At 40.5% G+C, this 15591-nt stretch overlaps 1 protein-coding gene and 1 pseudogene across 19 annotated transcripts in view, besides 1 other annotated feature; both read left to right on the forward strand.

Annotated features, from left to right (window-relative positions):
- AIG1 (androgen induced 1) overlaps positions 1–11980 on the forward strand; it is a 284671-nt gene extending 272691 nt beyond the window's left edge. For 10 of the 19 annotated variants that reach the window (NM_001286587.2, NM_001366345.1, NM_001366352.1 and 7 more), the window contains 2 exons: positions 1379–1542; positions 7736–9155. In NM_001286587.2, the coding sequence (NP_001273516.1) occupies positions 1379–1542; positions 7736–7773 (202 nt within the window). In that variant the 3' untranslated portion in view covers positions 7774–9155. Of the gene's footprint in view, positions 1–1378; positions 1543–2174; positions 2488–3147; positions 3217–6074; positions 9156–10671 lie in introns of those variants that run through there. The other 9 variants (NM_001366347.1, NM_001366361.1, NR_158896.1 and 6 more) reach the window with 7 other exon arrangements.
- Positions 1064–2263: an enhancer, noted in NCBI's record as "CDK7 strongly-dependent group 2 enhancer chr6:143654104-143655303 (GRCh37/hg19 assembly coordinates)". NCBI's record gives its function as "activates an origin of replication core promoter dependent on BRD2, BRD4, P300/CBP, MED14 and CDK7 cofactors, with strong dependence on CDK7, by STARR-seq in HCT116 cells {active_cell/tissue: HCT116}" and the evidence as "EXISTENCE:reporter gene assay evidence [ECO:0000049][PMID:35650434]".
- On the forward strand, positions 10336–11674 carry PARLP2 (PARL pseudogene 2; annotated as a pseudogene).
- Positions 11981–15591: the final 3611 nt, after the last annotated feature.

Genomic DNA, 15591 nt, shown 5'->3' on the forward strand with positions numbered 1-15591 from the left:
CTTTGTCACCCAGGCTGGAGTGCAGTGGTGTGATCTCAGCTCACTGCAACCTCTGCCTCCCAGGGTCAAGTGATGCTTGTGCCTCAGCCTCCCGAGTAGCTGGGATTACAGGCGCGCACCACCACGCCCAGCTAATTTTTGTATTTTTAATAGAGATGGGGTTTCGCCATGTTGGCCAGGCTGGTCTTGAACTCCTGACCTCAGGTGACCCACCCTCCTCAGCCTCCGAAAGTGCTGAGATTACAGATGTGAGCCACTGCACCCTGTCAGTAATATTTATATGTAGATAAACCACTTAGAGTGAAGCCAAGGATAAGGAAAATGACCTCAGAACACATAAGTATGAAAAGTCATCTTTATTCCCAATGCAATAGAGTTATCTGTATTTTATTTAGTCTTCACAATTGCCAACAGTTTATAAAGGAATGAACTCAAGAATGTTTGGAAAACAGCTGTAAGCAGTCATGTCAGGACCAAGCCAATGGAGCCGATATTCTAACTAAACTTTTGAAAGCAGTGGCAATTCATGATGTTACTATTCCCACTGAGTCAAAAATATTTCTGGAACACAAAGAGAATGATTAAGTAAGAATGTAAAATAGGAAAAAAAATGAAATCAATGTCACATCTGAAGATCAGAGGAGTGGGAAGCTGGTACCTGCTAGGGTATGCATGGTTGTGTCAGCATATGGCATGAGTGTTGGTGTCTAGTTGGAAGGCCATATGGCAAGGTATCTGGCACAGACTCACCTAGGTCTTATTCTCCTGTGGTTGCCCAATGCCATATTGTCTCATTCTGTAAAGAAGAGATTTAAAAGATTGTTGAACAGTGTTAATAAAGTCAGCCATTTCAAATACATGACCAGATTGTTTAACAGTGTTAATAAAGTCAGCCATTTCAAATACCCTTCAAATATCATCAAAGACAAGTAGAGACTGAGAAACTGCCAGAGTATGAGACTGCGGAGATGTGAAGACTGAAGACCACATGGGGTCCTGGATTGGATCCTGGAACAGAGAAAGGACATTCACAGGAATACTGGGAAATTCTGAATAAAGCCTATAATTTAGTACTGTCATATCAATGTTAATTTTTTAATTTTAGTCAATTGTCCCAGGATTATACAAGATGTTAACATGAGGGGAAGCTGAGTGTGTTGTGCTTCTTCTGTGAGTCTAAAATTATTTCAGAATAAAAAGTAAATGAAAATAAACAGCAACCAAGTTTCCAGTAGCTCCTGAGTATCAGAAGCGAACTTGAGACTGGCAAATGCTGAAGCATGGGGAGAGTGAGGGAGTGTATATTTGCATCATAGCAGCTTTGATGCCTGCCATAAGAGTGACTCCTGTCCTTGTCTCCTTTCCGATTCTTTTGCAGGGTGTGCTGGGTGCATCATGTAACTGGCATGTGGGTGTACCCTTTCCTGGAACACATTGGCCCAGGAGCCAGAATCATCTTCTTTGGGTCTACAACCATCTTAATGAACTTCCTGTACCTGCTGGGAGAAGTTCTGAACAACTATATCTGGGATACACAGAAAAGTAAGTATTGTCTGAGGGAACATAAAACAAGAGAATTACTGCCGGCAACAGTCTATGCAGAGACTGAGGGAAAATTCCACTGTAGCCTCTTCTTTTAGCCTTCACACAGGATCTCCTATAAAGAGCTCCATTTTTAAAACTACAATATGAATTTAAGAGCTGCTGACAGTTACCTGAAAGTTTTACTAGTCACTTGGTCTTGTTAGCTAGTAAAACCTCCAAATCTAAAGAGGAAAGAGGCATGTCTATAAAATTTTATAGGGAAAAATGTAGTGTTAGCAAAAAATATATATTAGGGAAATTTGTCCTCATTAACAACACAATGCTGCCTTAGTTAGCTAAAGGGACCTCAAATTAAATAGATACATTATTAAATGTAACCAATCTCCTTTAAAGTCACCCAGATCTCCACTTTCTATGTGGGTGCAGTCACCTGGGAGAGGTCTTACTACCATTCTGCTAGAGCTCTATCTAAGCAGTGTGTGATGCTCCGGCCACCTTGACTCACCAGTGGCTGTCACGGAAAGTCTGAAAGTGGCAAAGAGCTACAAGCAGTAAAAGATAATATTTCGTGGCTGGAAAAACTCTTTTAACCTGTGATTTGATTTCTCTTTTGTTTCCATTTATGGCAGAGCCTCCATCTTGGCAAGGCACGTAATCTTATCCAAGCTGTGCAAAACCTGTCCAAAGTGTATGTACAATAACATAAAAATTGAAAGGTGGAAAAAGCGCCAGCACAGACATGTAGTGATTGAGTCCTGCATGAAAATACATCCAAAGGCAAGATGGTTTGGAGATTTTAGGAAGCCCTGGCTCTTTCCTCTGACACAATCACAGCATTCTAGACATCCCCAGTAAATGGACTCTGTGACACAGACATTGAGCACCCTGCTTTGTGCCAGACACCCTGCCAGGAGCTCAATGGAATCAGACAAATAACGCACAGTGAGTGCATGGTTACTGTGCATGGTTACTGAATCAGACTTTTGTGTGTGTGGATCCTCTAAGATTGTATGTGTCAGGGTATTAGCCAATGTTAAATGGCGCAGAGGAATTTGAGGGTTTCTTTTCTCATCAGCTTTTGATTTTAATCAATGTTCTATTAGAAAAAGTATCAACATTTTTAATTCTGTTCAGGCCACAGCTTGGGGAACAAGACACTAATCTTTTAATAATGTTCCACCTGTTCAATGGAAATAGTGATCTTTCTCCATTAATTTACAGAAGTATTTAGTTACTTGACAAAAATATTTTGAGAACAAAATATAAACCTTTCTCAGCTTCTTGGAAGAAAAACTGTATTTAAACTTAAACGAATGTGTCCAATATATGTTATTCAGGAAGTACTTAAGTACCTGCTTACACTTGACTTGATTGATTTGACAGTCATTTGGCCACAGTTCTACTACTTCTATGAGAGGATGACCTGAAAACCACTAGAGAGAAATATCCACTCTACATTAATAGAATACTGCTTTTTAGCAGCTTTGAATGAGGAGTTAAAAATGAATAATGAAATTAAGGTTTTTTGAATGATTTGTTTAATTTATGCCATTCTTTTAAGTAACATAAGATTGACTAACTTTTTTTAAAAATTCATTTTAGATATGAAAATTAAGTTTATGTACCTAGGACCATCTAGTTAGTTCCACAAAGACAGATGTTTTGTGCCAAGTAAGTATCATCCTCATTTACAAGAGGGGTCACAAACTGCTGGCCTCCCCCAACTTCTACCTATCAAGTTCTGTTAGGCCTACATCGTGGAATTTTTGTTTTTGAATCAGTATTTTAAAATTGGGTGATTTTGGCTGGGCGCAGTGGCTCATGCCTGTAATCCCGGCACTTTGGGAGACTGAGGCAGGTGGATCACGAGGTCAAGAGATGGAGACCATCCTGGCCAACATGGTGAAATCCCATCTCTACTAAAAATACAAAAATTAGCCAGGCATGGTGGCGTGTGCCTGTAGTCCCAGGTACTCGGGAGGCTGAGGCAGGAGAACTGCTTGAACCCAGGAGGCAGAGGTTGCAGTGAGCTGAGATCATGCCACTGCACCCCAGCCTGGCAACAGAACAAGACTCCATCTCAAAAAAAAAAAAAAAAAAAATAGGAGATTTCACATGAAGGCCAGATTTTCAGCTTCTTAGGAAATATTTTAAGATCTGGAACACAGAGCCCACTGTTCTATTCTGGTGACAATGGTTTAGAATAGAGTATCAGTTATCCCTTGGCTGGGCACGGTGGCTTACACCTGTAATCTCAGAACTTTGGGAGGCTAAGGTGGGCAGATCACTTGAGCCCAGGAGTTCAAGACCAGTCTGGCCAACATTGCAAAACTCCATCTCTACTAAACATACAAAAATGAGCCGGGCGTACATGCCTGTAATCTCAGCTACTTGGGAGGCTAAGGCACGAGAATCGCTTCAACCTGGAGGCAGAGGTTGCAGTGAGCCAAGATCGTGCCACCACACTCCATCCTGAGCCACAGAGTGAAACTCTCAGAAAAAAAAAAAAAAAACAGAAAGAAAAGAAAAAAGAATTGAGTATCAGTTATCCACTTTAGATGACTAACTTTCCCTCGTTCTCACCTGGCCACTTTACTCAGTCACATTAGCTGCCTGATTCTGTTAGCTGTTGAGTCAAAAACTACTCACTAAAAGCAGTGTGTTAGGATGAATTGAGGACATGGGAGTACAGTACTACAATCCTGAGTATTTCACATCAGTTACTATACAATCCCCCAAGAAGAAGGAAGATTGCATTGGAGCCACCCTCCTTTTTCCATAATGGTTTTTAATAGCTCAACTCTGTCTACTTGGGTAACTTATGTTAGCTACAACTTCAAGATAAAAATCACATTATTGCAGAATCTTACTGCTGAAAGAGAGATTGGAAATCATCGAAACCGACCCTTTCCTTTCACCAAAAGTAACTGAGGCCCCAAAATCTTAAGTGACCCTCCAGAACAGGTGATGGCAGAGCCAGTGCCTTCTAACTGATGTTCAGTCCAGTCTCCAAATTTCCCCTTTGTATAAGAATACCAGTTGTATTTGATTAGGGCCCACCCTGATGACCTCATTTGTAAATACTTATCTCCAAGTAAAGTCACATTCTGACTTTAAAACCACATCCTGGGGGTTAGGATTTCAGCATATGAATTTGGAAGTGGGGGACAGAGTTCAGCTCATAATACTTCACTCTCTCCCCACCAGAATACATGTCCTTCACCCAATGAAAATATTCCATCCCAACAACCCCAAACGTCTTTCAGACATCAACTCTCAAGTCCAAAATCTCATCTTAAATATCATAAAATTGGGTATGCGTGACACTCAGGGTATGAGTCATCCTGAAGCAAAATTGTTCTCTAGCTGTGTGTGAACCTGGGAAACCAGACAAAAAGTTATCTGCTTCCAAAACAGAATGGTGGGACAGGCATAGAATATACATTCCCATTCTGTAAGGGAGAAGTTGCAGGGGGAAAAAAAAAGAAAGAATCATGGTTCCCAAGCAAGTCTGAAGCTAGCGGGGGAAATTCCATTCCATTTTAAGGCTTGAAAATAATCCTCTTTGGCTAGATGTTCTGTCCTCAGGGCTCACAGGGGAGGGGATGCATAGCCCTGCCTTCCAGGCACAGGGTCACAGGAGCCCCACCCCCACAGCCCTGGGCAATAGTTCTACCCTCTACAACCAAGGAGGAGCCAGTCGCTGAACCATCTTTGAAGCCATTGGTCCTTCATTTCATCCTGTCTCTGTCCCTTTCAGTCCATGCTGTCAATGTTTCTGCTGGTATAAAATTCTCAAAAACCTTATTGGCCTCCCATGCAAGTCATGGGGGTCCAAGCAGTCAGACAAGAGGGCACTCCGCGGATCTTTTTCAGATAACCACCTCTCTATTTCTGGCATCTACTGTGGAGGTTGATTGGATCCGTGAGTCACGTACCTAATTTCGTTAGCACATGGCTGTCCAGCCACACCCTTGGCATTCTCTCCCAATCTGAGGTACTGAGAGTTAAGCACTTCGATGTAGCAGTTTGGCGGGGTGGAGCGCGGGGGGGGACACAATTCACAGCTGAAATATTTCTTTACTTAAGCTAAGACTTTATCCCAATTTTGGTATATCTGACCAGTCTTACTAAAGCTACATTTTGTAAGACCAGAAATGAGTCTTTTCAAAACCAAAAGGTTGGTGTGAGGACAGAGAAAGTAGGCAAGCGGGGAGACAGGAGACGTCTATGTGTGCAGAAACCTGCACCTCTTCTCCTCCAGCTACCCGTGCAGGTCATTTCCCCCCAGGCCCATCCAGGTCTAGCGATGTCCCAGCACTGCCCCCTGGTGGAGCCCTCCACCGGCCTGCAGGAAGGGCATGTGACTGACTCCCTCAGCGCCCTGCAGTCTTGTCCCCTCTGGTCCCAAAAGTGTATCCTGCCTTCGCTTTGCGATAGGTTTCTTCCTGCCCTTTGCCTGGAAATTTTATCTCTGGTTCTTGCAAACATTATTTACAGCTGTCTAATTTTTTCTGTCTACCTCACAGCTGCCAAACTAAAGTAGGTGGGAAGCCATTTTCCCTCTCTAGGTCAATGAATACCCCCCGTTCTCCACCCGCGCTTTTGAAGATTCCAGCACTGCTGCCAAGTCAACCCATCTGCAGGAGAACGCTTTGGAAAAAACAGACTTTAAAAAGAAAAGCAAACTGCTCTTAGCCCCTGATAGCTTCTCCACAGGAGAGGGAATATGGACAGAGCTGAGGTTCAAGACACATGTGCTGTTTGAGCTGAATCTGTGCTGTTTTCTTCTTTCCGTGGTTACCCAACAACGAAGGCGTGTTGTACCTTCTTGCCTTCAAACCTGTTCCTCCTCCCGTCAGATGTCCTTACTCCTCAATTTGAAGTTTTCCTTCATAGGATTTCTGAGAAGGACTTTGGAAAAAGTGCTCCAGATCTCTGCCAGTTCCTTAGCCATGAAAACCAAACATAAAAGATCATCTGGGGACATTCATTCAGAGCACGTTACCCACATTCCACCACCACTACTCTGACAGCACAAAACATATACCAGGAGCTGGGGTTATGTGGTGGGGGAGTCCTTCCTATTGTAAGCCCTAACATTATGACCCTCTGGGGTTAAATTTTATAATTTTCATATTGTGGAGTCCCATATTTTGTTCTGCTTTCCACTAGTCCAGGCTTCTGAGGTCTTCTCTGTGTTCATTGCTTATTAATTTTATTCAGCAAAGATTAATTGAGCTCCTGCAATGAGACACACACACTATGTTAGGTGCTGGGGAACAAAATAGGGAAGGGCCCTACCCTCAGAAAGCTTGCAATTTATGAAAGAATACTAACAAAACCTGCAAAGTGGTATTTTAAGTTATTTTGTTTCATTTTTGCTATTGAAACAAAGAAACTGAGAATTTGGTATGATTCAAAAAATGTTTAGGTACAAGAAAAAGAAAAAAGCAAGAAGCACTTGCCAGATTTAACTATAATTCCTAAAAATGATGAACATTTTCATCTTCAGGAACATGAAACATCATCGACTATTCTCTACAGACAACAGGCAAAGGTTCTTACTGGTCCAGTACATACAAGTCCTTCAGGAAGAAAAACATGATTCTACCAGGATTGGGTTGAATAGAGAGAGAATTGCAGTTTAAGATTCATGAGTATGGAAATAAACAGCTCTTATGGCTAATAAACTCTCTATGAACTTTAAAAAGAAAACAAGAAAAAAAAAAGCATGGCTTTTTAAAATCCAAAGTCCTTGCCTTAGGAAGAGACAGGACTAAAGTAAAAATAAATGAAGTCTGTTTGAAACTCATGAGTTGCACACCTCATGTTGCCAGAAGCTGGTTTAAAAAGCAGTCTAGCTGGGATTTCCATGCAAACTCAGCAAGTCATGAATCAACTTGAAGCCTTGTCTCCCAGAGGCCATAGGAGCTGGGTGTGTCCCAGAGATGCTGTGTCCTGATTCTGTGGAAAGGGTGGGGAAGAGAGGTCACTGAGGATGTTTCTGGAGAAAGTTGTGCATGGCTTTCCTTCTTAGCTAGGAGGGAATAGGGGGTGTGTCAGGAGGGTGAATGGGAGAAGTGAGGGCAGATGAGTGGATGTGTGAGTAGTGTTAGCAAGCCAGATTAAACAAACTGCTTGTGGTTTAATCTGATGCTCAAATAAAACACTTTGCCTGTATTTCTAGGTATGGAAGAAGAGAAAGAAAAGCCTAAATTGGAATGAGATCCAAGTCTAAACGCAAGAGCTAGATTGAGCCGCCATTGAAGACTCCTTCCCCTCGGGCATTGGCAGTGGGGGAGAAAAGGCTTCAAAGGAACTTGGTGGCATCAGCACCCCCCTCCCCCAATGAGGACACCTTTTATATATAAATATGTATAAACATAGAATACAGTTGTTTCCAAAAGAACTCACCCTCACTGTGTGTTAAAGAATTCTTCCCAAAGTCATTACTGATAATAACATTTTTTCCTTTTCTAGTTTTAAAACCAGAATTGGACCTTGGATTTTTATTTTGGCAATTGTAACTCCATCTAATCAAGAAAGAATAAAAGTTTATTGCACTTCTTTTTGAGAAATATGTTAAAGTCAAAGGGGCATATATAGAGTAAGGCTTTTGTGTATTTAATCCTAAAGGTGGCTGTAATCATGAACCTAGGCCACCATGGGGACCTGAGAGGGAAGGGGACAGATGTTTCTCATTGCATAATGTCACAGTTGCCTCAAATGAGCACCATTTGTAATAATGATGTCAATTTCATGAAAAGCCTGAGTGTATTGCATCTCTTGATTTAATCATGTGAAACTTTTCCTAGATGCAAATGCTGACTAATAAAGACAAAGCCACCCTGAACCTGACGTCTGCATTGTGCATCTCAAAATCCTAACAGCATTAGTATCTCCTTTTCATTTTTATTACCTGTTGAAAATGGGTTTACTGAACCTGGTTCTTTCCTATAATTTTTGGATTTTAAAAAATGTGAATCTTTTTGATAACTCCAAAACAAATTTTTTTTTTCTTTTTTTCCAGATGGAGTCTCACTCTGTCGCCCAGGCTGGAGTACAGTGGCGTGATCTCAGCTCACGGCAAGCTCCGCTTCCCGGGTTCATGCCATTCTCCTGCCTTCTCAGCCTCCCGAGTAGCTGGGACTACAGGCGCCTGCCACACGCCCGGCTTATTTTTTGTATTTTTAGTAGAGACGGGGTTTCACCTTGTTAGCCAGGATGGTCTCGATCTCCTGACCTTGTGATCCACACGCCTCGGCCTCCCAAAGTGCTGGGATTACAGACATGAACCACCGCGCCCAGCCACAAAATTGTTTTTAAAAAAACTATTTTACAAAATCTTTGACCGTAATTATTTTTAAGATGAAAAATATGTTATATAAATTATAAAATGTTACTTAACACAAATATAAGTATTGATTGCCCAATGTTGAGAGAGATCAACAAATGATATAAAACCATTCACTCCAAAATTATAATTACATTTTAAAATTAAAAAATGAAAAGCATTAAACTTTTTAATTTGAAAAAAATTTAAACTCAAAAAGTTAATTTAAAATTAGTTACATTTAAATGTAATTAAATGCTAAAAATCTCTCTTCCTTCCGTCTCTCTGTCTCTCTCTTTCTCCCACACACATTCACTCTATATGCCCCCCATTTCTGAAAGCAAAATTGATAGAAATATAGAATGCATCTAGCAGCATTACCATATTAGTTTCCTAACTCATGGAGCTGGGACTTTTAAGTAGGAAAGTCAAGCAGAAATCCACCAAAACAGAAAAGCACAGCAATACCACATCCTTGGAATGACTGCTGCAGTTAGTACAGGATCAAAGACTTGAAGGATCCAGAGTTGGTTTCCATCACAACTACATGTATCTTACCTGTCTGACCTCTATTATGGGTTACATTGTGGCACTGTGTCCCCCTAAAATTTATATGTTGAACCCGTAACCCCTAGTGCCTTAGAATATGACTGTTTTTGGAGACAGGGCCTTTAAAGAGGGGATTAAGTTAAAATGAGGCCATTAAAATGGGCCCTAATCCAATCTGAGTAGTATCTTTGTAAAAAGGGGGAATTAGGACACACAAAGGGACACCAGGAATGTACATACACAGAGGAAAGACCATGTGAGGGCATGGGAAGAAGGTTGCCAACTGCAAGCCAAGGAGAGAGGACTCAGAGGAACCAAACCTGCTGACACCTTGATCTTGGACTTCTAGCCACCAGAACTTTGAGAAAATAAATTAATATTGTTTAAGCCACCAGTCAGTGGACTGACATTTTGCTATGTCAGTAACAGCAAATTAATACGAACTGTGTACAAACGATGGATGAATTTTGGAGGATGATAAATTATTGTAAGCTTACTTAGGCGGTGGCTCCACTGATAGCAGTGTTTCCAGAAGTCTTTTTGCTGGAGTAAAACAATATAATCCCTGGGATATCGAATGAAGGTACTAAAAAATTTTTTTTTGTTTTTGAAACGGAGTTTTGCTCTTGTTTCCCAGGCTGGAGTGCAATGGCACCATCTCAGCTCCCTGCAATCTCCGCCTCCCTGGTTCAAACGATTCTCCTGCCTCAACCTCCCAAGTAGCTGGGATTGCAGGCATGCACCACCAAGCCCTGCTAATTTTGTACTTTTCGTAGAGACGGGTTTCTCCATGTTGGTCAGGCTGGTCTCAAACTCCCGACCTTAGGTGATCACCCGCCTTGGCCTCTCAAAGTACTGGGATTACAGGCGTGAGCCATTGCGCCCGTCCTAAAATTTTCTTGTAGTGGGAAAATGGGGTGGCGAGGCTGGGCGCAGAGAGGCTGGGGCTGCGGCTCAGCGTGGGCTCCCCTGGTGCGCAGCAGCAGCTGCGAGGAGCTCACTGCGGTTCTAGCCCCGCCGCAGCTGCTTAGACGCAGGTTTAACTTCTTTATTCAGAAAAAAATGTGGTTCAGAAAAGAACCCAGTAAGGTTGAACCTCGAAGATCAGACACGGCAACAAGTGGTGAAGCATACAAGAGAAGTGCTTTGATTCCTCTGGTGGAAGAAACAGTCTTTTATCTTTCTCCCTATCCTATAAGGACTCTCATAAAACCTTTATTTTTTTACTGTTGGGTTTACAGGCTGTGCATTTGGATCAGCTGCTATTTGGCAATACGAATCACTGAAATCCAGGGGTCCAGAGTTATTTTGATGGCATAAAAGCTGATTGGTTGGATAGCATAAGACCACAAAAAGAAGGAGACTTCAGAAAGGAGATTAACAAGCGGTGGAATAACCTAAGTGATGGCCAGCGGACTCAGGTATCATAGCTGCAAACGTCCTTGTATTCTGTTTGTGGAGAGTACCTTCTCTGCAGTGGACAGTGATCTGATATTTCAAATCTAATCCAGCCTCAAAAGTCCGTTGTTCTCCAATGTTGCTGTCAACATTCAATCATTTCTCCTTATTTCACATGGCAGCAAATATGTATGTTTTGTGGAGCTTCTCCTTCAGTATAGTGAACATTCTGGGTCAAGAGCAGTTCATGGCAGTGTACCTATCTGCAGGTGTTATTTCCAATTTTGTCAGTTATGTGTGTAAAGTTGCCACACGAAGATATGGACCATCACTTGGTGCATCTCGCGCCATCATGATGATCCTCGCAGCTGTCCGCACTAAGATCCCAGAAGGGAGGCTTGCCATTATTTACTTCCAATGTTCACATTCACAGCAGGAAATGCCCTACAATCCATTAACGCCACGGATATGGCAGGAATGATCCTGGGACGGAAATTTTTTGATTATGCAGCACATCTTGGGGGAGCTCTCTTTGGAATATGGTATGTTACTTACCCTCATGAACTGATTTGGAAGAACAGGGAGCCTCTAGTGAAAATCTGGCATGAAATGAGGACTAATGCCCCCCCAAACAAGAGGTGGCTCTAAGTAAAACTGGGATTGCACAGTACCGGTGCACCTGTCTTGTCCTGCCGGAGAGCCCCAGGAGACATCGGCCCTAGAGTGATCATGGCTACGTTCCCGCCTGGAAGACGCCAGCATCTGGCCTCCCACTGTTTTCAGCTGTGTCCCCGGGTCCGTGTCTTTTCAGAAAGTGAAAATGACATAGTTGTGACGTAAAGGTTTACATCTAGTTCGTAAAAAATAAAAAAATAAAAATAAAAATACATTCCTTTTACCTTGCAAGGATAGCAGAATGCCCTCACTATATTTTCTCAAGGCTATTTCTTTGTGTGTTTGTGTATGTGTGTGTGTGTGCATGTGTTATAAATATTTTTAATTTAACTTTTAAGTTCAGAAATAAATGTACAGGTTTGTTATATAGGTAAACTTGTGTCATGGGGGCTTGTTCTATGGATTATTTTGTCACCCAGGTATTAAGACTAGTACCTATTAGTTGTTTTTAATAAATAAACAACAAATATAAAATGATCCTCTCCCTCCTCCCACTCTCCACCTTCTGAATGGCTCCAGTATATGTTGTTCCCCTCTATGTGTCCATGTGTTCTCATCATTTAGCTCCCATTTATAAGTGAGAGCATGCACTATTTGATTTTCTGTTCCTTTATTAGTTTGCTAAGGATAATGGCCTCCGGCTTCATCCCTGTTCCTGCAAAAGACATGATCTCATTCTTTTTTTATGGCCGCATAGTATTTCATGGTGTATATGTACCACATTTTCTTTATCTAGTCTACTATTGATGGGCATTTATGTTGAGTCCATGTCTTTGCTATTGTGAATAGGGCTGCAGTGAACATATGCATGCATGTGTCTTTATAATAGAATGATTTCTATTCCTTTGGTTATATACCCAGTAATGGAATTGCTGGGTCAAATAGTATTTCTGTTTTTAGGCCTTTGAGGAATCGCCGCACTGTCTTCTGCAATACTGGAACTAATTTACATTCCCACCAACAGTGTAGAAGCGTTCCTGTTTCTCCACAACCTCATCAGCATCTGTTATTTTTTTGACTTTTTAATAATACCCATTCTGACTGGTGTGAAATGGTATCTATCTCACTGTGGCTTTGATTTGCATTTCTCTAATGATCTGTGATGTTGAGCTTTTTTTCATGATTGTTGACCAAATGTATGTCTTCTTTTGAAAAATGTCTGTTCATGTACTTTGACCACTTTTTAATGGGGTTGTTTGCTTCTGATAAATTTATTTAAGTTCCTTATAGATGCTGGATATTAGACCTTTGTCAGATGTAGAGTTTGCAAATGTTTTCTCCAATTCTCTAGGTTGTCTGCCCAGTCTGTTGATAGTTTCCTTTGCTGTGCAGAAGCTCTTTAGTTTAATTTGATCCCATTTGTCAGTTTTTACTTCTGTTGCAATTGCTTTTGGTGTATTCATCATGAAATCTTTGCCCAATCCTATGCCCAGGATGGTATTGCGTCAGTTGTCTTCCAGGGTTTTTATAGTTTTGGGTTTTTCATTTAAGTCTTTAGTCCATCTTGAGTTAATTTTTATATATAGTGTAAGGAAGAGGTCTGGTTTCGTCTCCTGCATATGGCTTGCCAGTAATCCCAGCACCATTTATTGAATAGAAAATCCTTTCCCCATTGCTTGTTTTTTTGTCAGGTTTGTCAAAGCTCAGATAGTTGCAGGCATGTGGTCTTACTTCTGCATTCTCTATTCTGTTCCATTGGTCTATGTGCCTGTTTTTGTTCAGTACTGTGCTATTTTGGTTACTGCAGCCCTGTGGTATAGTTTGAAGTCAGGTAGCATGATGCTTCTGGCTTTATTCTTTTTGTTTAGGATTGCCTTCTCAAGGTTATTTCAATCATGGCTTTATATCATGATTTAGTCCACAGTGACCTTGTTTGTCTAACTGTCCCATGGGAAATCAAGTTTCTATTACATTGATTATATCACACTGCTAGAAGAATTCAGCAAGTAACCTAGATAACTTGAGAAGACACAGGCATGCCAGAGGGTAATAGATAAACAGCCCCCTTAAAAAAATTGGGCCATCTACCTTTGTGAAGTTTCTAGGGCTGCAGTGATCTGAATGAGACATATCAATATATGCCCTCTGAAGTAAAATCAAATTATTTCATTTTGCGTGCATTACTACTATGAAAGAAGCACATTGCTTGGTATGTCTTATTAGATTTTGAAGGAAGCATATGTCGCATTGAGTGTGCTGTTCTTATCTCTAGATCACAACCAGAGAAAAATTGAGTTATAAAAATTATAACAAAAAATCTAAAATCATTACAATTTGCTGATGAATGATTTTTTTTTTTTTTTTTTGAGACAGAGTCTCGCACTGTTGCCCAGGCTGGAGTGCAGCGGTGCCATCTCGGCTCACTGCAACCTCCGCCTCCCAGGTTCAAGCCATTCTCCTGCCTCAGCCTGCCAAGTAGCTGGGATTACAGGCGCCCACCACCACATTCAGCTAATTTTCTGTATTTTTAGTAGAGATGGGGTTTCACTATGTTGGCAAGGCTGGTCTCAAACTCCTGACCTTGTGATCCGCATCTATTACTGCCAAAAACCATCTCAAAACTTAGTTGTTTAGAATATTTATTTGCAAATGAATCTGCAACTTGGGCAGGACTTGGCAGCCTGAGCTTGTCTGTGTGCCACTGGTTATCTGCTGGGGTGACTTGAAGGCTGGTGGCAAGAATCCTCTGAAGTTTTGCTCACTTATATGCCCAGTGATTGCTGCTGGTGGTTGACTGAGGCCTCAGCTAAGGCTGTGACTGGAACAACTATATGTGGCCTCTCCACATTGCCTCTTGGCTTCACTCCATGTGACTGTGTGCCTTTTCCATGTGGTTGCTTGGCTTTATCACAATGTGGTGCCAGGATCTTAGCAGGCCCAGATGAAAAGTTTTTATTTAATATAACTTAGAGTCAGAAGTCACATAGTATCACTTCTGCTGCAGTCATAGTCTGACCTAAATTCAAAGTAAGGGAATGTAGATCCCCATGTCTTGATGAGAAACTATCAATGTTACATTGTAAAAAGAATATATGTGATTATGAAATATTGGTGGCTAGATTTGGAAACTACAATCTGTCACACACATCCAAAACAATAAACTGAAAGCTGACTTTGAAATTAAGATAATAAGGTTATAGAGTACAAATATATGCAAATCCATAGTTTTATTATCCATAAGATGTAATGGGATATAATGAAAGGAAAGGACCCTTTGCAATAGCAACAACTTTATGAAAAAATTTTTGAAACTATTAAATGATGCAAAAGAAGGTTTGAAGAAATGGAAACATATACCATGTGCTTAGAAAGCAAGACTATATCATAGATACCAAGTTCCAAGTTAATTTATAATTCAAAAATACAAACCTTTGTTTTTTATTTATATGCTTTGTTTATTTTTGAAACTAGACAAGTTAATCTTTAAGATCATATGTAAAAATTAACAAACAAGAATTGTTAGGAAAGCTCTGAGTTAAAAAAGCAATGAGAAAGAACTAGAAGACTAGCCCAACCAAATATTAAAATATAAATGCCTCATTTAAAAAAGCAGTATGAAATTGACTATGAATACACCAACTAATACAACAAAATAGGAAGAACAATAATAGAAATAAATACATGTGGGAATTTAGAATATAATAAAAGTAGTACCTCAAATCAGCAAGGAAGGAGATAGGTTATTCAATAAATATCATTAGGACAACTGGAAGGTGATCTGGATAAAAAAAAGCTGGGTCTATATCTTGCATCTTTTACCCTGACATATTTTTACAAATGGCTTATCTTCCTAATATATATAGAGATCCTTAAAAAAGAAAGAAAACAATAACCTAATAGGAAAATAATGGCAAGAAAACGTGAATAATTCAGAGAAAAACAAAGTATCTCTTAAACAAATGAAAAGAATGCAACTTCAATCATAATAAGAAAAAATACAAATTAAAGCCACACTGAATATCATTTATATCTATTGGATTGTCATAACTTCTAGCCTTTGACCACGCGTTGTATTGAATAAGAGTATAGACACTTTCATAATTGCTTGTGGAAGTACAAACAGGCACAGTCCTTATAGAAAGGAATTT

Source organism: Homo sapiens, chromosome 6 (assembly GCF_000001405.40).
Source record: "Homo sapiens chromosome 6, GRCh38.p14 Primary Assembly".
Classification (NCBI taxonomy): domain Eukaryota; kingdom Metazoa; phylum Chordata; class Mammalia; order Primates; family Hominidae; genus Homo; species Homo sapiens.